Raw genomic sequence first — 26,049 nt, 5'->3', positions numbered from 1 at the left:
TGCTTCCCCTTCCCCCATGGAGTGTGTCCTAGGACCTGGAGATTTTCATGGCCTCTGGAAGATGAGGAACCCACCTCTGACCTTCAGTTTATCAAAGTAGTGATTTATTGAATCCTTGTAGCTGTCTGCCCCAGGGCCGCCAGTGAGGGCTGGAAACCTCCTGCCTCAGGTCTGGCCTCCCGAGGCACACTCTTCACGTAGCTGTCTTCTCAAGGATTCTACTCATTGCCTTAGGGAACAGAGGGGTGCCAGGGCCTCTATTGCTGGGGACTGACATACCTCCTTATCAGGCCCTGGGATGGGGGGTTGGCCATGGGGGGATGGAAGGGAGAGTGTCATTTTGGCAGCTTCTCCTCTGCTTCTCCTTCTCGCCTCCCAGAAGTCCAGCAGAATTTCTTCTCTGGGTTTAGATATTGTTAACAAAGACAGACTTCTTCAGAATGCTTCTGTCTTCAGCTGGATGAAAATACAAGGGATTACAAAGCCTGCCACCTGTTTTAAATGAGCTAGAAAGGAGAATCATTGGGAATTCAAACAAAGTAAAATTCTGGAGTTGTTGTGCTATGCTGATTTGGAGGCCCTAATAAAAGCAAAACATCACCCAAACAGCAGGTAGCTATGGGAATTAAGAGAAGGAAATAGATTTGAGAGACAATAAAGTTGTAAAGCTTAATCTCTGAGAACAATCTAGACTGCAGAGCTTCTAAGTTTGGAGAGGCTGGGAAGTGACATGGGAAGAGGTTGACTTTTGACACGCACCCTGGATTCTACAGCAAGCTTAACTGCTTGCTGGCTGTAGGATCATGGGCAAATCAGCATAACTTCTAAGCCTTACTTTCCCCATTAATCAAATAGGGTTAATGCTACCTACTCATGCGGTTGTTGAAGGTATTAGGTAAAGTTCTTAAAACAGTAGCCATCACCTGGTGAGGATCCGGGAGCTCTGATGGCTATTGCATAGCGGTGCCATTAGCTAGAACAGGCAGTGCTGGAGGAGGAGCAAGTCTGTGGGTTAACGTTTGAAGCCCCACCATGTGACCTTGAAGGGGCACTGCAAGGTATCCCGAGAGCTGCGGGAGGGAGGTAGATGTATTAGTCTGGAATTTGAAAGAAAGTTCAGGATTGAAGATAGAGATTTGGGAGGCTTCTGACTTCAAGGAGTAATTGTAACCTTGGGTTGTGCATGGGGTCCCCCAGGGAGATCATGTATTAATGTGAGAAGGTAGAAGACCAGCTGCCAGGCCCACAAATCTATTCCAACTTCCAGCAACCCCTTCATACCATGCCCCCCAGTGTCACCTTTAAAATGACATCATTGCCTGGAGGTGAATCTGAATATCCCACTCAGGCTTCATTTCAAAGAAATAATCTCATTGTTCACCATGATCCATCTTGCTGAAATAAGATTTAGTTGTCTGTAATCTACCAAATCAGGTGGGCTCCTTTCCATCTGGAAAATAAAATAAAACATATTCGAGAGGCTTTTCAAAAACAAACCTTGTACATCTTCAGCCTAGAGGATTCTTTCACTGAAAACCAGGGCAGACTTCCCAGTGTTTGAGGGTTGCCCAATTCTTTCCCACTCAAATCATTAGAAATAAAAAAGTCAGTTTGGAGAATTTGCTTAAGTAAAACCAGGAGTCGCTAGAAGTGAATGAGCTGAAACTGGAAGGAAATCCCTTTGTTCAATGTGGGTTTCAGTGAATGCCCAGCAGGCGGCTAAACCAGTTCATTAAGAGAGAAAAAGACGGGTTCTTAAATGCTGTTCTCAGAAGCAAATGCCTAGAAAAACATATTGTGACAGCAAAAACACATCCTGGAACTCATACACTCTATGAAACTTTGGTTTTTGTCATCAACGAATAAACAAACTTTCCAAAAAATATTTCCCCCTTCATTTAAAACAATTAACTAATCTGTTTACCATCTGCCAGTCTTCACTCCCACAAAAATGTGATTCTTCTTGTTACTCTGGAACTCGGAAACATTTATCTTTAGGATTGTTTAATTTTATAGGGTCATTTTTAACCACATACTTAAAAAAGAATAATTGACGTATGAAAACCCTTTTTTCCCTCTGCTTTAGAAATCTAAATTCTGACCTGAAAAGCAATCTGCAAGTAGCATCCTGTCAAACTGAGATGTGTTATTTTTCCTGTCTGTTCTCTGCTTTATTAAATCGTCATATACTGCACATGATTTTCCCCCCAGACCAGGCCTGCCTTGGGCTCTCTGTTGCATTGTTAACTATTTAAGCATTAGACTGGCGCAGAGATGGCAGGTGGGAAAAGCTGAGGGATTTGATCTCCTCCCTGCCAGAGTTCTCCTCTTTCACGAGTGCTGCTTACATTGAACAGCTTAAGAATAAGCTCCTGTGTGAGCCCTTGGAGGCCAAGGAGTATTGTTGAATTCAGAAAGGAATCGCTTTCTTTTTGTGATAATTTGAATATTTTGACAATGAAGCTAAGCTACTTCACTGCCTGGTTTGCGTACCTCACGTTATGTGCACCCTTTCCTGGGAAGCAGAAGAACCCCTGCCTCTTTGAATACATAAATTGGTATTGTCCGTTTGTGAGATGGGTAGGTGCAAAGGAAGAATCATCCGGAAGAATTTTACTCTTTTGCTTTAATGTCTTTTTAAAGCTCTTTCAAAAAAAATTTTATACAAGCCTTTGGAGACCACCCAATTAAACCAGCACAATAAATGTTGAGCATTTTGAGGAAAGAGATGGACCATAAAGATGATTTGTAAAGTGTTTATACAAGCAAAACAAGGAATATGTTGGAAACAATTTCCCTAAATGACTCAGGCAAATAACCTGCTCACCTCCAGTATTTTCCTGTATTGTGATGCATTAACGTTAAAAACAGTTGTCCCAAAATGGCCTTGGTTTTTCCATTTTTAACTTAAAAGGATGTTCTCATACAAAATAAATGGACATAGCCTTTTTGATCAAATTCACAGAAGAAAATAGGCAAGTGAATAAATCACTTAGGCGAGATATAAATTGGCTTTGTTCCATAGCAGATTTGCCTTTGTACTAGTTAAGAAAATCCTGAAAAGCTTTCCCTGTAAGAGGATCAGTTGGTTGGAATAGCCTTGGTAGGAAGAAGCCAAGTTTGATAATTACTTGGTGAACGGAAATGCTGGTTTCCAAATGCTCATCAGGGTTCAGTGGCACAAAGCTGGCTGTAGACTTGGCTTCTGTAGATTTGGTAAAAACGTAAATTCCTGGGGTCCCAGTGATGCTGTTTTAGTCTGTACTGATTTGCCCTGTGGCCACCCAGGAATCTGTATTTTTAAAAGTTTTCCATGCTGATTCTAATGCATAGCCAGGTTTAGTAACCATTTAATTCAGTATTCAACTTAGAGACTTCAACCTTCTTGCACTGCAAATTTGATAAATCTTTGTTTATATGAATCTCCTTTGTTGAGTGCCAACTGGTTATTTGCTGACTTTCTTTCAATTCAGAATTTGTTTTAGGTTCTGTTATTGCATAGATTTGCATACCTGTTTTATGGTATTTTAATACTGTTGGTTTTAAAAAATACCATTTCCTCTGAGTGCTGTTCTGAATATATTATGTAAGCAATTTTGTGTGTTCTTTTTTTTCCACTTGCATAAAGCAGGGGAAAAGTTGAGAGTTTTTCTTAATCCAGTTGCAAGTAGGACAAAGGATATGAGTGTTTAAAGATCATCTATTAAAATGCATGAAAAAACACTAGAAAATCTCCTGTGCACATCGCCAGTCGTGTGTGTGCTCTAGAAGTGAAGTTCAGGGGGTAACATAATGGAGGAATGTTTTCCTAGCTTCATTCCCTGACGATGTACAAGGTCTCTTCTCACAGGTTTGAATCTTCAGACAAACTTCTGGGAGGACTCGGTCCCTGCCTCGCAGCAGATGTTCCCTGTCACTCAGTAGGTGCGCATGTTTTAAGATTATTTCTAGTTGGGCATGTTTATTAACGATTGCTTGGAAACACATCATAGGCAAGAACATGCTGGAGGTTCAGGGTACTTCAAAAAGGTTCTAGTGGAAAATAAACACATTTCCTCCACAAACTGCAGAATACCCGAGAACAGGGTTCTTTTAGCCCTTTCATTTTTTAAAGCTCAGTGCACATGTGTTTCAGGGAATTGGATGATGCAGTTAGCAACTTTTCATGACCTCTGCTGTCCCACATCCACAGCCTAGTAATACACATAGATCTATGGAATTTTCTGCTGACAACCCTGTCAGTTCAAAAGAAGAAAGCTGCCCCTGCCAACACTCCTAACTTGTGTACATAAGATGTGTAAGAGGTTGTCCTGTCTTTGTGGCAGATGTCGACTGAAAGATAAGCCTGGGAAAGATGCTGGTCGCATCCCAGCCACATGAGGCAATCCAGCCATACTTCCTGAGGCTTTATTTGAAAACGCTGTTGTAAAGCAGTTGCTGAACTTCACTGCTCATGTAGACAGTGTGGCTAGAAGGGATGGCAAAGCGTAGGTTGAAAGAGCACTTGGCTTAGTTCAGAACACCTGGGAGCAACCTCTGTTCATCATCATTATCATCATCACCAGTAATGATATTAATAGAAGCTAATGCCTTTGGGGCACTCACTCTGTGCTAGGCGTTTTGCTTAGGACAGTGTATTACTTGCAGTATGTCATTAGTCCATGCTGATGGGCAGTAAACTTAAATCCTCTGAGCCTCAGTTTCCTCATTTGTGAAATGGGGACAATGATGCCCTTCTACCTATCTCTTAGGGCTATGAGATGGAAATTATTGGAATAGCATGAGAGAGCTTTATGAGCTCAACTGAAATAGTTTATTAAATAGTATTCCGACTCCTACTGAAATACAATATTGTCACTAAATATTTGGATTTATTGACCAAGAAATTGAAATTAATCCCAACAGGGCCAACATATCTACTAGGACCTAGCAGTTCTAGTTAGGGCTGGGAGTTGGGGTGGGGTGGGGGAGCGTCTTGCCTGTATCTTCTGTTTACAGTGTGCCTGACATTAGAAGACTAGGAGTGCTAGCCAGGAAGATCCTGGAATGTGTCTGCCGAAGTATTCAGTGGCGAGTCCATGGGCTGCGAACAGGTGGGGTGTGGCTAACACAGCAGGCCTTGTCTGTCTCAGGAGCTGAAGGGGGCCAGCCAAAGCAGGGTGGACAGTATGATTGCAAGGCAAGCAGGGGAGGAAGAGCCACTTGAGACATTGCTCTCAGCTGCTGGGGAGGAGCTGCGAGCAGGCAGCGGTGGGAAATTGAGGCTTATTGTGAGCAAGGTGCCGGCCTCCGGGGCGACGGGGAGCGCAGAGCAGCACATGAAAGCTGCCTGCGGATGAGCTGGGGGATGGACCACACATGTGGATTGCAAGGACAGCTACTCAGAGAGTTCACATTCCTCCCCCATTGAACTGGGTATGATTGTAATGGTTTGTTAAACAAACAAAGGACCTAAAGCTGTGAATGGGAGAGAAAAAAGACTTAAGGTGAAAAGGAGAAGAGGCCCTGCTTGCTAGTGTTCCACTCTTTTTAAGCTTTCTCCCCCATTTCCTTAACATTCCTTTCCCCTTTCAGAAAAGCCAGTGTTGTCGCTTGGAAAACTTGCCTTGTCTCTTCAGTGCCATTTTCTTTTAAAATGGAAACCTGATGAAATGTTAATCAGTTTAAAAAGAAAAAATCAAGAATCAGGATAATCTTAAAGGACCAGTGATAAATATTTTTATTTCTCAAATTAACTATTCCTGGATGAACAATTTGCTTTGCATCCTTTGAATTTATTGGACATGACATGGAAAGGCAAAGAGAAAATTCTCAAGCTTCTTGAAATAATTGTGTCTAATAAAGTACGGCCTGTGTCCCGAGAGGCAGACAGGCATGCTTCTGGAGGAAGTGGAGTGAGCTTGGGAACAGGTGCAGCAGCTTCACTTTTCTCACATAACCATGCATGTACACAGTTTACTATAAGTTCTGGATATTTCTACATCGAGCTTGAAAAGTTACTGCACGTTACTTTAAAACTGCCCATCAAATTTGTGTCTAGGGTAATCCGATTTGGTCTTGGGTTCATCTCATGTAAAAAGAACCAGTTAGCATTTCAGAACAGTACCTTTCAATCTGCTGTTCTCTCCAGGTAACTGAGTTACCCATGGGGGAGGGATAAGTGATTATATGTAACTTTTTCCTCTCTGCAATTCATCTGTAGATGGGACATCCTCACTTTCACTGGCTCCCAGTTCCCTGTAGGATAAACCCAGTGTCCCCTGCCAGGTGCACTATCCCTGTTATTGGTTTTCTGACACAGGCCCCTCTCCTGCCCATCCCAGCCAGGCTGCACCACGTGTTCCACATTGCCCTATGCTGCTTCATGACTCCGAGCTCTTCTCTGTTCTCCCCTCTGCCTCTGCAATATGCCTCCTCCATTTGTCAACCGGGTATACTCCTAGACTCAGCCTAAGTAGTCATTATCAAACTTTAGAAAGTGCAGATATTCAAAAAATAAACAATGAGGTCATCTATAAATCCAGTGTCAAGATACCCTGCTCCCATGTAGTTATCTGTACTTCAAGGCCTTTTTCTGTTTATTTAGTGATATGTTATTTTAGGATCAAACAGTCCACCCAAGTCTTGAGCATCCTTTCTAGATCTCAGATCCTTCAAGGTCATTCCGGTGATTTTCACTCACAAACCAGGCATCCCATGGTCAATGTAACTAATATGCTTTTCACATTTCTCTTCTCAATGTGAGCCTATATCCTCACACACTTCCTGAGAAAGAAAGAGGCTTTTCTTTCCCTTGAATGTTAACCTTATTGGAAAAATAATAGGTCCTGCTGCTAATTAGAGTTCTGGTTCCTCCATGTCCTACACTTAAGAGTCCCAGGAAAAGAGATCACCGCCATCAGCTATAGAAGCAGACCCTAAAAGGGCCTAAAGGCGAGACTCAAGGGTTTCTAGGGAGTGAGGAGGGGGATGTATTTTCAGCTATCATAAAGGAATGATCCCCATTCCTGACTGTAACAATTAGAAAATCTTCCCCTAATACCAAAGGCTCTTGTCTGGATTTTGGGAGTTGCTCTCCACCCCTCACCCCCCCACCAGACTCCTGAGAGTCTTCATTCATAAATAGTCCTCTTCAAACAAGGCAGTCCCATCTCAGCTTGAGAACCAGGCCTGGACTTAACCCTTGCCTTTCTCAATGCACACATCTATTTTACTTGTAGACATTTGTCTATTTTTTTGTGACTGTTTCTATTTAAAAATACAATGCATATGGTGGGGAGAGGTGAGGAGGCCTGTCAAAGATCCAAGAGTCTGCAACAATATTTCTTTTCCTCCGTTCCCCCTGGTGGGTACTATACTGGATGACCCATCTGGAAGAAGGCCTTTGGCCCTTTCGTGGGGATCCTGGCTGTCCCAGCCCCTTGCTTCCGTGCTATATGGATGAGGAAGGCCAGTGGTGGAAGGGGCCCCAGACCTGTGAGAGATGAAGCACTTCTGGGGTGACAGATCCCAGCTCCCTGCTCATCAGAGTCATCCCTTCCCCCTTGGTAGTTCAGCATCTCTCAGTCCTCTGTGGCTCTCCAAGGCTCACATTCATTGGCTTTTGCCTTTTCCATAGCTTCTCTGGACTTCTTCCTGTTTCAGTTGAGAACGTTTTATTGGCATCCTCTACCTCTACCACCTCACTCCATCTCCATGTAGATGCAGTCAGGGGCTAGGCTTGACTCAATAGGTTAGATATCTTCAATCTGCTAAATATAGCAAAGAAAAGCTCCCATCTATAAAAAGCCTACCTTCTTCTAGTAGAAGAGATAACCAAAAGATTTTTGTTTTGGGTTTGTTTGTTTGTTTGTTTATTAGGATCTTGTTTGTACTATCACCATCTAGAAGTTATTTACCAACATCAAGTTTTTGAACTCAGACTTAATTCTCATTTTGCTCATTTTTATCACCATAGGCCTATCAGTAGACCATCTTATCCAAGAGGAGCTGGGGGGATTTTGAGGCAGAAGGCTGCTTCTGTCTTTGGAGCTCTGAGAATTCCATGCCCCCACAAGGCTGCTTCCATCCGGGCTACAGTGCAGAGTAGATGACCTAAGGGAGTCTCAGTCTAGCTGCAGCCTGCCATAAAGAAAACAAATTCCTCCTTACCCCCAGGGCTAGCCCACTTGACCAAACCACTCTAGGAGGAAAACATTGGTGATCAAGGTTGAACACGTGAGTCACTGACAGGATATGAGGCCACCCATGGAAAGCTCAGAGTAACTTATAAAATCGCCTGTATAAGTTAGGTTCAGAAAGGCATCCGCTTCCCTAGACTAGAAGAGCTCCTGAGCCACTCCACGCTTCACGTCTCCTTGCTGGCCCGAATGCCCATTAGGCACCATTAAGCCCAGCATGTCTAAAAATGAACTCCTAACGCTTATTTTTTGCTGAGTTTTTCTTCTGGGATGCAGAAGAAAACCTCTCTCTGCCACCACCATTCCCTCTTTCCCCTAACCTCAGTCCTAATCCAGTTATTCTGTTTACAGAGTGTCACTGGAACCTGCCCTCTCTCCTTGTGCAGGCCTGTGTTCTCTCTTCTGAGATCTGGCAGAAGCCTAAATGATCTCATTATCCAGCCCACCACCCTCCAGCATGTCTTATACGTCCCTGCCAGAGTTACCATCAAAAAGTGAAATCTGGTGGCAAGTCCACTGCTTCTGATCGGTCCCCATTGCCCAGCTCCCTGGTGGTGAGCGCCTGGGTCGTCCTTTCCCCTTGGTAGTTTGGTTTTGTCAGTTTTCTGTGGCCCTTTGAGGCTCACAATCACAGGCTGAGGCTTTCCCCACTGCCTCTTCCCATTCCTCACAGCATTTTATTGGCATTCTCTACCTATTTCTACCTCTTCTCTTCCCGCCCTCCTCACTGCATCTCCACATAAATTCAAGAGTTTGTGGCTGGACTTGACTAAATAGATCAATCTGCTAAAAACAATTTATGACAAAAAAGCCCACCTTCCCCTTGTAGAGTGGACCCTTCACGATTCTCCATCTCTCTAGCCTGTTTTCTCCTTTGCCCACATCTGCACCTGTATTCCAGTCTTACTGAACCACTTATTCTCCAGGTGGTTGGATTCATTCCCTTGGCCTGAAATAGACCACCTCCCTCTTGAACACGTTGTAAACTTCTACGCTAGCTTCAACTTTTACTTCTCTGTGACACCTTTCTTGATCTCCCAAGCAAGAGATGGTCACTGCCTAGACAACCACCACCTCAAGTTTTAGTAATGATTTTCACTTCTATTTATCTGTTTTCATGCATATGTCATTATAGAGCAATGTAATTGTATTCTGTCCATTCATTCCTGAGGAAACACATCTTTGAATATATCCTGTCCATGATTCCAGTCTTGCATATTGTCTCTTTCCCTTTGGCTGGGCACTAGTTACCTGTCTTTATTTTCTGGCTAATATGATGGTATTTAAACTATATTTCTGTTTGTGGATATTTAGAAATGCAGCTGTTTGTGTAGTTTGATTTTTATAATCAAACACCTTGCCAGGCTTTCTAATCTTGTGTGTGGATTCTTTGGGATTTTCTATATCGACATTCCTCTGCAAATAAATAATTATTCCATTCCAATTTTATGCCTTTCATTAGTTTATTGTCTTACTGTATCGTATTATCCATGACTTCTAATACATGAATGTTTCATGCAAGCAATGATAATAGGTAACTTTGTCATGTGATGAAGATAGTATACTCTGTTTTGTTAGTTTAAAAATCATCTCCTCTCCTTTCATGTTTCTTGGTGAAATGATACATATTTTAACCATTTAGTCAATGAATGTTAGTCTCTGGATTATATTAGCTGAGTTATAAGAGGCTGCCTCATGGTGTTGACTCTCAGATGCTCTCTGGGTTCTCAAGTGTTCCCCTTGCAAGTTTGACTCAAATGCCTGTCCCAGCCCCTGGGGTCTTGCACTGCCACTGCCTTTTTGTTGGTGTTGTCCTCTTTAAAAAATAATATCCTGCTCTTCTTTTAAGGACCTCTGTTCTCTCTAGGATATTAATGATTATTATTTTTGAAGTTTCCTTCCCCCCGTAGTCTTTTTTTCCCCGTTACTTTTTGTGTCAGTTTTCCCTATTAAGTGCCTTCCTCTGATTTCTGGTGATCCTTGGCCTACTAATTTGTGAGTCAAGCCAGTAAAGAGCTGATGGGAGCTTTGTATACTTAGGTGGGGCTTGTCAGCTGGGGCCTTGTATAGGGTAAGGTGGCGACCCCTGGAGGAAACCCCCTTTGTCCTTATGGTTTGCTCTTTTCTCTTGGGCTGGTCAGCTTCCCAGGGAAGACTCCTCCATCCTCCTGCCCTGAGAGAGAGGACATTCACCCTGTGTCAGGCTACTCCCCCACTTTCATACAGTCTCCATAGCGAGCACTTGTGCTAGGGGAAGGAAGGGCAGGCACCCCACTGCAGGCATCAGGAGAGGTCAGGAGGGCTCAGTGCTTCACTAACAGACTTTCACCTGCTGCTTTCATACCTGTTTCCATCCTCACTTCCAGAAGTACCTACTGTACCAAATTGCAGAGACATATGGTAGATGCTTCAGGGTATAGCAGGTTGTTTTGTTGCCTCTTAATGCTGGCTTAAACTTTAGCTTTCTTAGGATGGCCAAGTCGATCACTGCTTGTTTACCTGCTTTTCAGCTTCCAAAATTTGTTGTTTTCTCCCTTTTATATTAGGCTGTGTTTTAGAAAAATCCCACTATTACTGTTTTAGTAGAATTTTCAGAGAGACTGGAGCTACATGCTTTTATTCAGTTGGCCATCTTTAACCAAATATTACACTATTTGTAAACAGAACACACCCTGTCCCTTTTCAGATGTTCTGGCTAGGATGTGGATTTGATGTTCCAAAGCTGTAGCATAATCATCTGGACAGCTTTCTCAATTTTTTCCCTGAATATTAGAGAAATAATTCACTTTGTCTTTCTTGTTTATCTTAAGCCTCATTTCTTAGAAAGTAAGAGCTTAGTCACTGGGTTAACAAAATTCAGTCTTTCAAGGTGACAGCTGAAAAGAATCTATAGGCAACAAACCTGATGGCTCAGCAGGTGGCTCTCTCAGAGCAGAATAGAAGGGCAGGTAGTGCTTCCTACAATGAGGATAAACTAGAGTGAAAGCTCTTCAAACATATTAAGGTGGAGATCTCTACTGGGCCATTGAGTAAACACCTCACCGTGTGGAGGAGGAACTCGTGCCTCTGCCTGGCAGTGACAGAGAAAAGTAGAAGTTTGCCAGGTAGACAAGGGTTCCCAGGACATTCCAGGAGGGAGAAAGCCAGAAGCGTGAGAGAAAGTAGCACTTTAAGGAAACAGCAAGTGGAGTGATCCTTGGCCTTGCCTTCCGGCCATGATGGGAGTGAGGTCTGCAGCCATGGCAGCCATGACTACCTGGAGGTTCTGGATATCATCTTTCTCCTGATGACATTTCTAAATAGCTTTTTTAAATTTGATAGAGACTGCTACCAAAGTCCTTCAAAGAACTGATATTGAGAAAAACACCCTTGTTGGAAGACCAAAAGTGGAAATTCACTTTCCTCTCAGAAATGGGCCTTGCATTGATTGTGTCACTGAGGACAATGGAAATAGATGCCAGAAGTCACAGTTTATTTTAAGAATGTTGTAAAGCAGTTGTGCCCCATTAGATGATGTGTTATGTAGCACTGGAGAAGTCCTGGAACTACAGTTGTGTTCTGACTCCCCCCTCCACCCTCGTATACCCCTGTCCCCTGGGAACACAGTCTTTCCTGGCTGTTACCATATATATATGTTCTTCTTCCCGTCTGATCCTCTCTCATCCCCAAAATAATCAACATGAGCAGAACGAAGCAGATGGCACAAGCCTTCTTTGGCATACTGGCAGATCTGTATCACTCAGTATTTTTAGAATCAAGGGGACTGAAAATTATGTCCTGAGATGTTTTGGGGTAAGACTTACTATCTTTCTAGGGTGACAGGTGTTGAAATAGCACCGTATTTAAGACTCAAATGCAATTTCTATGTCAAGTCACAGAACAGAATGACTCGCATCAGGACCATTGCTCTGTAAGTTCTGTTAGGATCGTTGGTGGCCTGCCAGATAATAGAAAGTTGTCATAAATTGTTTTAAGGATGTGGCCAGAAAGTGCATTGGGTTTCAACCAAAGATTGGACTCATCAGTAAACAGCCTTTGAACTGATCAAGTGCGTGGTGATGAGAGATGTTGTATATACCCACAGTTGTTGTTGTTGTTGTTGTCGTTTTTTAATAGCTAAGCTTTGACCCTCAGCCACAAAGCGTTTATAGTCTGTTGGGGTAGACAGTCTTGTTTTTACAGAAGTTTATTATTATATCATGAAAACAAATATTTGTATTCTAAGGCCCATATGGAAGAAATACATAGTTACGGTGATTAAAAATTATGAATTTGAGTTCATTAAGGACTCTCTGAAGAAATTAAAGAATGTTCACTATTATATAACTAACTTAGTTCTGAGGACCAACTTTGCAATTAGTATTAGGCTAGGTATATTAAACACACAGACCTGGAACTCAAAGCCTTGGGAAAAGATATTCATGAAATAAGCATAAAAACGAGAGACTTTGTGTTTTAGTCTTTGAGGGAAACTTGAAGTTGGAGGAAATGTGCCTCACCTTTAAACCATGGCCATGTCTAATGCTCAGATTGTCCCATTCATCTTTGAGGGCTCAGGGGAAATGTAGGCATGGGTGATGTCCATGACTGCTGGCCTTTTGAATCTTGGGAAGAAGTGGCTGGAAAGAGATCTGGAAAACCTCATTCAGTGCCAAAGGGCAAGTTTTTCAATTGAATAAGCTTTATTTTTTTCTTTGTACTCCTAGTGTGTTTGGTAAGCAATGAGTCAAGGTTTACATCTGCTGAGAAAGAATGCAGGCGTTTTACTTGCCACCTCTTGTGTCCTTTCTACACGTGTGTTGTCCACACTGCCACTTCTTTCCAGTATAATTGATATGGTGTAGTATCCATAGGGAGAGAATGTGTCTCTTTCCCATTACATCCATAGCTAAATGGTTAGAACATGAGCTGTACATTGACACATGGTTCTATAGTACTTTTAATTCCAGTGTTTCATAAATACTGCCTATTTGTAGGGTGTTTATTTAGGTTACAGTGTGCTTTCAGATCCATTTTGTCTCAGTCGATTGTCCCAGCAGCCTGTTTACATACATCAGGTAACTATCACAAATGAGGAAACTGAAACTCGACACAGATAACATGGGTAAGTTGGAATTTGAACTGGGGAATCTTTCCACTGGATTCACAGAACAAGTGCCTGGATTTATAGCTTCAGGGTAAACACCTGAGGCTCAATCAGTAGCACAGTTGTGTCCAAGGAAAGCACAGCCTTGCCTTCCTCTCCTTTGATGGGAATACCAAGAGTCTGCCTGTGCCGTCCAGGACAGCAGCCACTGGCACTATGTGGCAATTTAAATTAAAGTTAAATAAAGTAAAAGTTTCAGTTTCTCAGAGGCACATTTTGAGTGCTCAGTAGCCATCACATCTGTAACATTTCCATCATTGCAGAAAGTTCTGTTGGACATGCCAGTCATCTCATAAAGCAAGAATTGGGGAGAATCAACTTACTGAGATAAGTTGAGAAAAGTGTATATGCAGGGTGTTAAGTAGGTGAGAGAAATGTAAAACCTTCCCCAACAAAGCAGCTCCTTCTCTGAAGGGGCGAGTGGGACGAGTGCTATTTTGAGTTCAGCTATAAAGGGAATGAGAAAAAGATGCATTTTCAAACTTCATACTCTGTGTGTGTTAGTCTTTTTTAATAAACCTAGAAAGAACACAGAGCAATTCTAAGTGAATGAGTGTGTTTTATAGCTGGGCCGGTATTATGGCCAAACTTAGGCTGGGTGAGAAGTAGAACAGATCATGATACCTAGCAGAGCAAACTCGGCAGGCGGAATAGAATTCCTAGAAGGAGTTATTTTGTTTGTGACCAGGGCTGTTGAGGATTCCTCAAGATAGGGCCTCAGGCATGAACTAGAATACTGGAAGGGAACCAGGGGTTGGGGGAAAGGGGTTTGGGCAGAGCCGGGACAGGTAATTAGTTAAAGTCACACATAATTGCAGAGGTTGTGTGTGCTGCTAGAATCACAGCCGTCACAAAGAAGGTGTGGTGCCAAGGTGCTGGCCGAGGACTCCTGTGTGTCCCCTGGTTTGGATTAGCGCTGACCAAAAGTGCCCGAGTCAGCTTTCACGTTTCCAAGTGGGTGAGGCAGGATGGTGAGGGGTATTTGCTTGGTACCGCGAACTCTGTCCAGACACTGAAAACATCTACAACAGAAGATGAGGAACTCTACAAGTTTCCTGGAATTTTTGCTGGTTAGAAAAGGAATATGTGTTTGGTTATGTCCGTGTGCTACATAATGCTATATTTAAACATGTTTAAACTGTTATTACAATAAAGTTTCATCTAGTTAGACTCATACTTTCTGATCTGAAAGTAACCAAAAAGGTAAGTAAAAATTAACTTTTAACAATAAAGAGCAACTCTAGAGACATGGCAATAAATGACTGCAAGGAGCAGGGAGGGCTTTAAAGACTCACTGCAATTGGTCAGTTTACCATGAAGTGCCCTGCTTACTGGCAAAGTTCAGCAAATGCTGGCCTGTGGACAAAAGCTACTCAAGTGTACTTCACCTAAGCATACAGTACTCTTAATTTTTTTAAGTATTGGCACTTGAAAGGTGAGCATTTGCCCACCTGAAAATCTCTCTCTAGAATAGCACAGGGTGGTAGTGATCCAGGGCTTTACCCTGGCAGGTAGTGGCAGGTAGAGGCCGATTTGAAACCTGCTGTCAGAGTCCAGGGATGAAATGTGGGGGGTTGGTCCAGGTCCTGAGAGTGAAGCTAGGAGGAGACATCTCCAAGTGTAAATTTTTGGAACACAGTTTCTCAGCTTGGGTGGAAAGCCACCCTAGTAAGTGGAGTATTGTTCATGATGCAGGCTCAGACACTTCAGGTTCCTCCAATGATGGCCAATTGGTAGAAAAAGAAGAACCTGGTTTTTGGTGACTCTGGCTGAGTCAGAAGGATGATAATGATTTGGGTTTGAGACAAGTTGGGTTTGAGGAGGCAGTAGGCCCATCTCCTGGAGGTGGCCTACCAGCAGGTAGCTGGATGGGCCCTCCAGGGTAGGGCCAGGGAATGAAGAAAGGTCCATAAACAAAAAAGGAAGAGATTAGTAGAACTTACTAGAGGATGGTGCCTACAAATCTGAACGTGGCCTGGGCTGGTTCCTGAGCTATCAGCTTTGTGCCACCACATCAGTGCAACTAGACTAGACTAGCTTCATGCACATTCTGTTTATATCAGCCCTTCTGCAGAGTAATCTTACAAACAAATTGACTTAGGTGTATACAAATTATTTCTTATCCTCTGGAAGTTTAAACAGGTGTGATAAGCAACTAATGTTATGCCAACAATGAGTGATGAGGAAGAGCCCGTGGTTTGAGTAAGTGTGGGTGATTTTTGTTTATGGACCAGTAAAAACACTTGAACACACTGAGGGAGGGAGGTTTTTGTTTGTTGTTGTTGTTGTTGTTGTTGTTGTTTTTCTCTTTGGTCAATGGAGCTTCACACTGACCTGAAATAGATAATACTGGATCCGTGGAAAGAACTCTCCTTACCAGAGGGAAAGTGTGCTCCACTGGCCATCAGTGCTTGACTCCTCACCCTCTGAGAAGCCAAAAGTGTAGACTTGTATGCAGATGGCCCTCTCACATGGAGAACTGTGTTCCATGAGCACCATTTAAAGGAACGTGTTGATTGTGGGTAGTTGATTCTGAAGCGGTCAGGGAGGAAAAGCATTGTTTTCAAATGGCTAATGCAAGAAAACTGTTCCTCTTCTCTCCACAGCCAATCCGGGGGACCCAGGACATGCCCCAGCTATAGTGATGCAGATTACCTTTCTGCTCCTGAATCGCACCTGTGCCTCAGACTTTCTCCCCTCAGCTTGAGACTGCATGTAAACTGGGATGTGTGAAAGCAGGAAGCAAAGCTAGTGACAGCTGAGAGGTCCATGTCTGGGTAGAACCAGGCCCACGATGCTGCCTCTCCCGTGGTCTGGAGTTCAGCTGCAGGGACTCTGCTGATGTGCCCAGCACCATCGTTCTGTTTGTGCTTAAATGGCACAGCATTTGGTCAGCACATCTGAAAAGGAAGGTGTGAGAAGCAAAGCCCATGGCCACGTTCCCCTGCCAGTTATGTGGCAAGACGTTCCTCACCCTGGAGAAGTTCACGATTCACAATTATTCCCACTCCAGGGAGCGGCCGTACAAGTGTGTGCAGCCTGACTGTGGCAAAGCCTTTGTTTCCAGATATAAATTGATGAGGTGAGAGGCTTTGGCAAAGGTATGCACTTTTAGAAGTACGTTTAAATGGCTTTTCTAGCCCTCAGACCACACGATGCAAGGGGAAAGGGACACAGGATATGGATGCATTTTAGCCTTTGAGGGATTCTTGAAATCTGCATCCAGTGATTCCTGTGGTTTTATGTGACCGTCTTGTTGTGCAGTGTCAGTTCATTCTTTCAACAGAGATTTTTTATGCACCTACAATATACCAGGCCTCTCCCCATGGCTGGAGAAATAGGAAAAGACAATTAAAATGCAACCTCACTGCTTTGACAGAGCTATACAGGTGGTAGAAGTTGTTCTTCACTGCCTGATGAAACCTGGGACGGCTTCTCAGATGGGGACAATCTTTAAGCTGTGACACAATGAAAGAGGAGGAGGCAGAGAGGAGGTTCTGGGAAAGCCATAAGTCTTGGCCTTAAAGCACCCATGTGCAGAGGGTACTATCCGAGGAGGAGCAGATGAGGCTAAAAGTGCAGGCAGGAAGGAAGCCACGTATAGCAGGCCTTACCTCTGTCTGAGAGGGTTTGTCTCATTCAGGTGTATAAGTAGTGAAGAAATATGATTCGTTTAGTATCCTAGAAAGAGGACTCAGATAATAATTTGAAGAAGTGGCAGGAAGGCTGATTTGAAACCTGCTCTCAGAGTCCAGGGATGAAATGTGGGGGCTGATCCAGGTCCTGAGAGTAAAGCTAGGAGGAGACATCTCCAAGTTTAAATGTTTGGAACACAGTTTCTCAACTTGGGTGGAAAGCCACCCTAGTAAGTGGAGTTCAGGTGGGTATGCAGATGAGCAGCATGTGCATTTGATCAGTTTTAAAGGCACCCATGACACACCAAAGGATAAAAAGCACTGTTTTAGCAGATGAGTCTTTTTAAAAAATTACATTTAGTCTAAGTTATTTATTGAGTGCCTGTTAGGTACCTACTTCCATGAGGGAAATGAATACATTAGATATCGTTTCTGCCGCCAGTGGATCTTTTTAATATCACAGGAAAGACTCCATGTACATGCAGTGGCTGTGCTGCACGGTACTGGGACTGGTAATGAGCATGGTGTGTGTTGTGTCTGTGCACACTCAGAGCCACACACATAGTGCGTCCACTCACACGTGCTGCTTTTGATACTTGGTTAAGGGAAATGCACCATTTGCCCTTAATTTCATGAAATAAACTTTGAAGTTTCAACTTTGACTGTTCACATACAAACGCCTGGAGAGAGCCAGGCTTTAGCAAGTGAGATTTTCCATCTGACTGGTATTACCATAGACCACATTATGAAATCTTGGAGTGACCCTGGAGGAAGGCACTTGAAAGAATTGAAAAGATGGAAATTATGCTCCTGGCCCTTAAGAATACCACTGTTATACATAATGTAATGTAATAAGTTGGTTTTAAAAATTAGCCTGCAAATGCTTACATATTTTAAAATTCAAATGTCTTCTATACATGGGCCTCCCTCTAGCTGTCACGAGTAGAAGTATTGAATGCTGATCACGTGCATGAGTTTGTTGCAGAGGCTCCCTGTTTTGCATGAAGCTTCTTGCGTGTGCGGAGGGTAAGCGTCCTTACCCAAACATGAGAGCAGCGCTGGCTGCAACTGAGTCACAGTGAGGACACTAAAACTGCAGATAAAGACTGAGACACATAGAAGAGATCAATGTTTAGAAAAGAAGAATTAGTGGAGTAGAACTATTGGGATTACAGTTGACCCTTGAACAACATGAGTTTGAGCTGCACGGGTCCGCTTATACACAAATATTTTTCAACCAGATGCAGATTGAAAGTACAGTATTTGCAGGGTGTGAAACCTGTGTATACCGAAGGCTGACTTTTCATACACATGTGGTCCACAGGGTGGACCGCAGGACCTGAGTATATGTGTATTTGGGTATGACAGGGGTAGAATCAGTACCCCGCATGTTCCGAGAAATAATTTACTATGGTAAACTGCGCTGAAAAAGAAGTCTTAAGTCATGTTTAGAAGGTAGTTGTTCTTAGCAAGGAAAATGGCTTGTTCAGTTAAGGGTGTAAAGAGAGGCAAAAAGGGAAGCTGTCAGTGTACTTTATGCAAGAACCGCCTTCCCTGCCTCAGCCCCCAGCATTTCTTGCCTCTCGCCTCTCTTGCCTGAAGCAGTGATATAGTAAAGGACTGGAAGAGTGTGAGATGGCAGGATGCTTTCGGTTTTGCTTTTAAAAAAAAGATGATGCCTGTAATCCCAGCACTTTGGGAGGCCGAGGTGGGTGGATCATGAGGTCAACAGATCGAGATAATCCTGGCCACCATGGTGAAACCCCGTCTCTACTAAAAATACAAAAAATTAGCTGGGCGTGGTGGTACACGCCTGTAATCCCAGCTACTCGGGAGGCTGAGGTAGGAGGATCACTTGAACCCGGGAGGCAGAGGTTGCAGTGAGCTGACATCGAGCCACTGCACTTCAGCCTGGTGACAGGGTGGGACTGCATCTCAAAAAAAGGATGATGAGGCAACAGAGGTTGAAGGAAAAAATAACTGACTTGCTTAACCAGAAAACAGAATGTGGGTCCCAGTACAGCATATAATGAAACCAGTTAGAGACAATAACAGGCAAGAAAAGATGATTTGGCAAGGTTGGAGGTCCTAATGTGAGCAATCAACCTCTAAATAATTCTAAAATCACTGACATGATCCAGATGATACCCAAAGATGGTGGCATTGGGTACTGACTCTAGGACATACTAAAGCTGTTTTCATGGGTTATAAGGTAAGATGAAAAACTGAGGGAAAGAAACAAGTCGTTGAAGTAATTTCAGCTATAGGATGAGAATGTTCTAGATCAGGATTGTTGAGTAAGTAAGGGATAAATTAAAAGGGAAAGAAGTAGATGCCAGGCAAGGGAAAGAGTCAAGAAATTCAGAAATGTGGGAGCTAGTGAAGTCTGGAAGGCAGTGGTCTTGCTCAAGTACTACTGGGGTGTCAGACTGTGCCCCACTTACAGGTAGTACAGGTGTAGGACAGGAAAGAGTGCGTAGGAAATAACCAGGTGCAGTCGTTAACCTGGTATTGATCTACCCATGGGTGATAAATGAAATCAAATCAGATGAAAGTCCTCTATAATGAAAGAAAAGAGAGAGGCACAAACTGACCCAAGAGCTATGGGATCCTGTTCACCAGTACTGGGCCAGAAAAAAAAAAAAAAAGGTTTAAATACTGAGTGTGTAAGCCAGCTCCCCCCTTCATATGTATTCCTGCGATATATATATATATACATATGGATATCCTGCAGAACAACATGGCTATTTGCCCTCTAACATGCTCTAAAAACCCTTTCTCCAACCTGTGCATTTATTTAGATAGACCTAGAACGTGGAAACACCAGCACAATCTGGTTTCTCAGATGCCCATCGTATTGGTTCCTGTCCCTGCCTTACGGTACCCATCATGTTATCATTTATGTGCAAACAAGCTGTGGTGTACTGGAGGGAAGGGAAGGGATGCACACAGCAGGCCTTTTTTGTTTTTGTTTGTTTGTTTTGTGACAGAGGAAGGAGGTATGAGGTTGTACTTTATTTTTAAGAAAATGACAGTTCGATTCAGATTAGCTTTATATTTTTTGAACTGGCTTCCAGTTGGCCTCTAGGTGGGGGCCTCCACTCAACGGCTGCTATTGTAGACCCCTCCCCAATTCTGGCTCCACAAAAGGGGCAGGAATAAACAGTATAGGGCAGATGTTGGCTGAAAGGTGTAATTAAGTATACTTTTGACTTAAACATACTGTCTTAAAGAGATCCTATCTCTTTTACGGAATGAGTTGTTAGAAAATCTTCTGTATCTAACGTGAAAGCTCACAGGGTACAACTGCACTTAAATTGTCAGTTAGGACAAGCTTTAACCTCTCGTGACAAAACCCCTAAAGGAGGTATCTGCCCTGAGGGATATGAAGCTACAAGTTGTAATGAAGGATTCTGTTTCATAGGACATGCTAACATGTAATGCTCTGCATTTTAGTTATTAAAATGAACCTTTTTAAAGCTTAAGGATGACAAACTCAGGGTTTCCTTATACCACTGAGTTTTTAAAAGCCAGTGGTGAGTTTAGATGTTAGCAATTCAGTGGAACTATGAAAAAGATGGAATTGTGATGGCTTTCCATAACTAATTTCTGCTTCACAAATATAAAAGAGCTATTTTGAAATTCCAAATTGACTAGACAGACTACGGCTTGTCCCTGAAGCCATTGTTGAAGACAAACTTACAACTCTTATTAGAAGTAGCAGCTTCATATTTAAAGAAGAAAGTCTTTTTGAATTTTGCCAATTAAATTACCAGTGACCTTTAAGAAGTAAGTCAAAGGTGTCTTAGAGGGAAAATTTGAAGTAACAGAGACAGGCAGCAGCATCAGAGATAAGAGCTGATAGTCAAGCATTGAATGAAGGAAATCAAGACAGTGGTGAGATCTCACGGCAGGCAGAGGCTGAGGCTGAAAGCAAGGCAGTGGGCTGATGTTCAGGGTCCTATTAGACACTTTTCTGAGGTTAAGGATGGACTTTTTAAGAGGCTCCTAAGAGTTACATGTCCATGGCTTGAACTTTTTGTCTCAAACAACAGAAACATAGGAACTAGGAACAATAACCTAAAACTGGGGCTTTATGTGGTTCTGGGTAGCAGACAAATTGAGTCACTTGAATTTCCAGAGTACAAAAGACCCCTTTAACCCCTTCCTGAAAAAGATTTTTCATGGTCAGGTATTTTTAAGTACTTGCATACTTTGTTCAGAAATCTGTATACATTAAAAAAACATGTTCTCTTTAAGAATATTCTGGCCAGGCACGGTGACTCTTGTCTGTAATCCCAACACTTTTGGAGGCCAAGGCGGGAGGATCACTTGAGCCCAGGAGTTTGAGACCAGCGTGGGTATAGTGAGACCTTGTCTCAAAAAAAAAAAAAAAAAAATTAGCCAGGCCTGGTGGTGTGTGCCTGTAGTTCAGCTATTTGAGAGGCTAAGGTGGGAAGATTGCTTGAGCCCAGGACGTTGAGGCTGCAGTGAGCCATGATCGTGCCACTGCACTCCAGCCTGGGCAAAAGAGTCAGATCCTGTCTCAAAAAACGTTTTATAGGTGTGAAAAATGTATTATGGCTTTAGTATTGCTTGCTTTTCTTAATTATAAAAGTTTATATATTTGGAAAATATATGAAAGAATTTTGAAAATTATACCAAGACCCAGAGAAAACTATTAACATTTTGATATAATATTGTTGCTACACCTTTCTTCAGCTCTTAAAACAACTCTCTATTGTGAAATTTCTCCTTCTGCTCCTAGGCATATGGCTACCCATTCTCCCCAGAAATCTCACCAGTGTGCTCACTGTGAGAAGACGTTCAACCGGAAAGACCACCTGAAAAACCACCTCCAGACCCACGACCCCAACAAAATGGCCTTTGGGTGTGAGGAGTGTGGGAAGAAGTACAACACCATGCTGGGCTATAAGAGGCACCTGGCCCTCCATGCGGCCAGCAGTGGGGACCTCACCTGTGGGGTCTGTGCCCTGGAGCTAGGGAGCACCGAGGTGCTACTGGACCACCTCAAAGCCCATGCGGAAGAGAAGCCCCCTAGCGGAACCAAGGAAAAGAAGCACCAGTGCGACCACTGTGAAAGATGCTTCTACACCCGGAAGGATGTGCGACGCCACCTGGTGGTCCACACAGGATGCAAGGACTTCCTGTGCCAGTTCTGTGCCCAGAGATTTGGGCGCAAGGATCACCTCACCCGGCATACCAAGAAGACCCACTCACAGGAGCTGATGAAAGAGAGCTTGCAGACCGGAGACCTTCTGAGCACCTTCCACACCATCTCGCCTTCATTCCAACTGAAGGCTGCTGCCTTGCCTCCTTTCCCTTTAGGAGCTTCTGCCCAGAACGGGCTTGCAAGTAGCTTGCCAGCTGAGGTCCATAGCCTCACCCTCAGTCCCCCAGAACAAGCCGCCCAGCCTATGCAGCCGCTGCCAGAGTCCCTGGCCTCCCTCCACCCCTCGGTATCCCCTGGCTCTCCTCCGCCACCCCTTCCCAATCACAAGTACAACACCACTTCTACCTCATACTCCCCACTTGCAAGCCTGCCCCTCAAAGCAGATACTAAAGGTTTTTGCAATATCAGTTTGTTTGAGGACTTGCCTCTGCAAGAGCCTCAGTCACCTCAAAAGCTCAACCCAGGTTTTGATCTGGCTAAGGGAAATGCTGGTAAAGTAAACCTGCCCAAGGAGCTGCCTGCAGATGCTGTGAACCTAACAATACCTGCCTCTCTGGACCTGTCCCCCCTGTTGGGCTTCTGGCAGCTGCCCCCTCCTGCTACCCAAAATACCTTTGGGAATAGCACTCTTGCCCTGGGGCCTGGGGAATCTTTGCCCCACAGGTTAAGCTGTCTGGGGCAGCAGCAGCAAGAACCCCCACTTGCCATGGGCACTGTGAGCCTGGGCCAGCTCCCCCTGCCCCCCATCCCTCATGTGTTCTCAGCTGGCACTGGCTCTGCCATCCTGCCTCATTTCCATCATGCATTCAGATAATTGATTTTTAAAGTGTATTTTTCGTATTCTGGAAGATGTTTTAAGAAGCATTTTAAATGTCAGTTACAATATGAGAAAGATTTGGAAAACGAGACTGGGACTATGGCTTATTCAGTGATGACTGGCTTGAGATGATAAGAGAATTCTCGAACTGCATGTATTGTGCCAATCTGTCCTGAGTGTTCATGCTTTGTACCAAATTTAATGAACGCGTGTTCTGTAATCAAACTGCAAATATTGTCATAACCAACATCCAAAATGACGGCTGCTATATATAAGTGTTTGTCATATGGAATTTAATCGTAAGCCATGATCATAATGTTAACTAAATAACTTTATGTGGCACTGCCTAGTAAGGGAACTATGGAAAGGTTTGGATTTCTCCAAATCTGGGAGAATTTTCAAAATAAGAAAATAACCTTTATATGATATACTATGACTAGGCTGTGTATTTCTTTTCAGGGATTTTTCTACCTTCAGGGTTGGATGTAGTTTAGTTACTATTACCATAGCCAACCTGTAGTTTTACATATACATTTTCTTGTGGAGCAATAGAGTTCTCCATTTTACAGAAGCATTTTAAATGTAGTTTGAATATTTTCCACAAGATGCTGCAATGTGAGTTATCACTTCATTTATCTTAAAGAAAGACTAAACTGGTTGTCAGTTACATCTGACAGAAAAAAAAAAAAAATCACTGTGTAACCAGGTTAAGTGGTAAAATAATCCAGGCGTCAGTCAAAGGCATTTTGCTGACTTTAATATTGATTATATTTTTAACAGGAATTTAAGAAAATATTACTGGAATTAAAAATATATATATATTAAACAAGAATTTTCTTTGCTCTGTCTAGCTTAAACTACTACTCAAGCTGCTTAAGTTCTTAAGTATTGTTTGTAATCACCAATAAATAAGTGCATTTGTAATTCATCAGTCATTATTAGCTTTTATTAAAAGAAGATTACGTTTTACAATGTAACTATAATCTCTTGAATTTGGTATCTTATTAATGAGTTTTAAAGATGTAAAACCTAACCTTTTTTAAAGCTCCATTGTCTTATGTTTTTAGAGGCTTTTCCGTAAACATATATCTTACATATAATAAACTTTTCAAATCTTGCAATTTGGCTTGATTAATTTTTCATACAGCTCCACCTGTGTCAACAACATGAACTACATACACTCAGATCAAGACAGAAAACACTTCCGGCTCCACCTGGCTCCCTCATGCCCCCTCCTGGTCATTACTTCCCCCACAGAAACCACTGTTTTGACCTCTACTGAGCATCTATTAGAAACTTCACTTTTTTTGAGTAAAATAATTATGACTTAAGATGGAAGCTTGTATGCGTCCATTAAATTCACAGCACTAAGAGCTTATTATTTCTAAAAATGCAATATTTAAATCATTCTATAATGTGACATAATTTATTTCTAATGTATAGATCAGAATACTATCCACCAGAGTTTAGTCTAACCTGGGCTACCATGATCCACTTTTACAACGGTGTTTACCATTAATTTCTAGCCAAATTAGAAATAAATGTACTTATTTCTTATTGGGATTTTCTCAAGGTATTATGCCCCTTAAATCTGACAGGCCTATTTCTGTTTGTTTTACTGCTAAATAGGGTGGGGATAGGTAGAGAAAGGGAAGACGAGTTTGTCTGTCTATCCAAGAAGCCCACTGGTCAAATGTGAGAAAACCTGACCCACTCACAGTCCTTAACAATGATGCTGATTGATGACCACTTAAGGGGCAAACAGCTACCCAGGATTGGAACTGAGAAGGAAATTTAATCTATGAGACCCAGCTGCCAGACAGACCTGGGTCTTTAAACTACAATGAAACCCGCGGGGAGGAAATGAGACAAAGTGATGTAAGTTATTCCGTTAGTAGGAGTCCACTGCTTGGGGACGTTTAAGTCAGTTCCCATATCCCCTCTTTGTTCTCAGAGGGAAAGCAATCTCCCAGAGCAAAAGGGGAAAGCTAAAACCTCCTGATATCCATTTATAGAAGCTTCCACAGATACTTTTACATGGCTTACTACTGTCTCCTGTGAGTTCCACAACACATACTTGATTTTCCTGAACACAGAACATAACATTTGGAGTTTAGTCCCCAAAATACAGATCATAAGAATTTCAGATATTCCGCATTACAAGTCAGGGTAGGCTGGGATTCTCCTACTTAAATTTGGACAGAAAGAAATGGTTTAATTGTTCTAATTAAAATTTTACGAGGTTAAGAAAAAGTTCTTGGATTTAAAATTATGAATTAAGTATAACTGACTCTACAAAAAGAGGTCTATTGACCCTTAAGATTGCAAAGAGGCTGGGCACAGTGGCTCATGCCAGTAATCCCAGCACTTTGGGAGGCCAAGGCAGGCAGATGGCTTGAGCTCAAGAGTTCAAGACTAGCCTGGCCAACAGTGAAACCCCATCTCCACAAAAAATATAAAAAATTAGCCGGTTGTGGTGGCGCAAGCCTGTGGTCCCAGCTACCCGGGAGGCTGAGGTGGGAGGTACTGCTTGAGCCAAGATCGCACCACTGCAGCCTGGGTGACAGAGTGAGATCTTGTGTCCAAAAAAAAAAAAAAAAAAAGACTGCAAAGAGAAGAGTCACTTCTCAACAGAGCTCTGTATAAATCAGTGCTAAAGAAATGATTAGATAGCTTCTGATTTGGCCATGATAAATAAATGGCTTGAGGCCACTGAGAACATTCTTCCCACAGGATGGAAGATTTTGGTAATCTTTTCTCTTCCACTTCAGTGTTTCCTCCCAGATATGGTCTGTGTGATTGGTATGTGTCAGACACTTCTACACAGTATATACATAAACATTTAAAACAAATATAATAGCTATAATTTAATACTTACTAGATACCAATATCAAAACTGAGATTTCACAGCTAGTATATAAAATGAAGCCAGTTAAAGAAAGATTTTCCTAGTAAGTAAATAATGTTAGTATTCCAATTACTAGTCTACTAAAAAGGTTCTAATATCAAAGCAACATTGTCTTTAAAAACCCATCAAATGTCCAATTAAACTTCAAGTGAATTTGAATCATGCATTA

General features: G+C 42.7%; 1 protein-coding gene across 27 annotated transcripts in view, besides 1 other annotated feature; it reads left to right on the top strand.

Moving 5' to 3' along the window:
- The window catches only part of PLAGL1 (PLAG1 like zinc finger 1), a 124,300-nt gene extending 100,207 nt beyond the window's left edge, over positions 1-24,093 (top strand). For 12 of the 27 annotated variants that reach the window (NM_001289044.2, NM_001289043.2, NM_001080951.3 and 9 more), the window contains 3 exons: positions 3,851-3,924; positions 15,933-16,408; positions 21,730-24,093. In NM_001289044.2, coding sequence (NP_001275973.1) covers positions 16,257-16,408; positions 21,730-22,969 — 1,392 coding nt within the window. In that variant the 5' untranslated portion in view covers positions 3,851-3,924; positions 15,933-16,256 and the 3' untranslated portion in view covers positions 22,970-24,093. Of the gene's footprint in view, positions 1-2,980; positions 3,925-15,932; positions 16,409-21,729 lie in introns of those variants that run through there. The other 15 variants (NM_001289038.2, NM_001289040.2, NM_001317160.2 and 12 more) reach the window with 7 other exon arrangements.
- Positions 5,290-5,848: an enhancer, noted in NCBI's record as "OCT4-NANOG-H3K27ac-H3K4me1 hESC enhancer chr6:144279682-144280240 (GRCh37/hg19 assembly coordinates)". NCBI's record gives its function as "activates a minimal SCP1, AML or CMV promoter by ChIP-STARR-seq in naive H9 embryonic stem cells {active_cell/tissue: H9 hESC(naive)}" and the evidence as "EXISTENCE:reporter gene assay evidence [ECO:0000049][PMID:30033119]".

This window comes from Homo sapiens, chromosome 6 (assembly GCF_000001405.40).
Source record: "Homo sapiens chromosome 6, GRCh38.p14 Primary Assembly".
NCBI classification, from domain to species: domain Eukaryota; kingdom Metazoa; phylum Chordata; class Mammalia; order Primates; family Hominidae; genus Homo; species Homo sapiens.
Note: the sequence above shows the minus strand (reverse complement) of the source record. Positions and strands in the feature narration are given on the sequence as shown.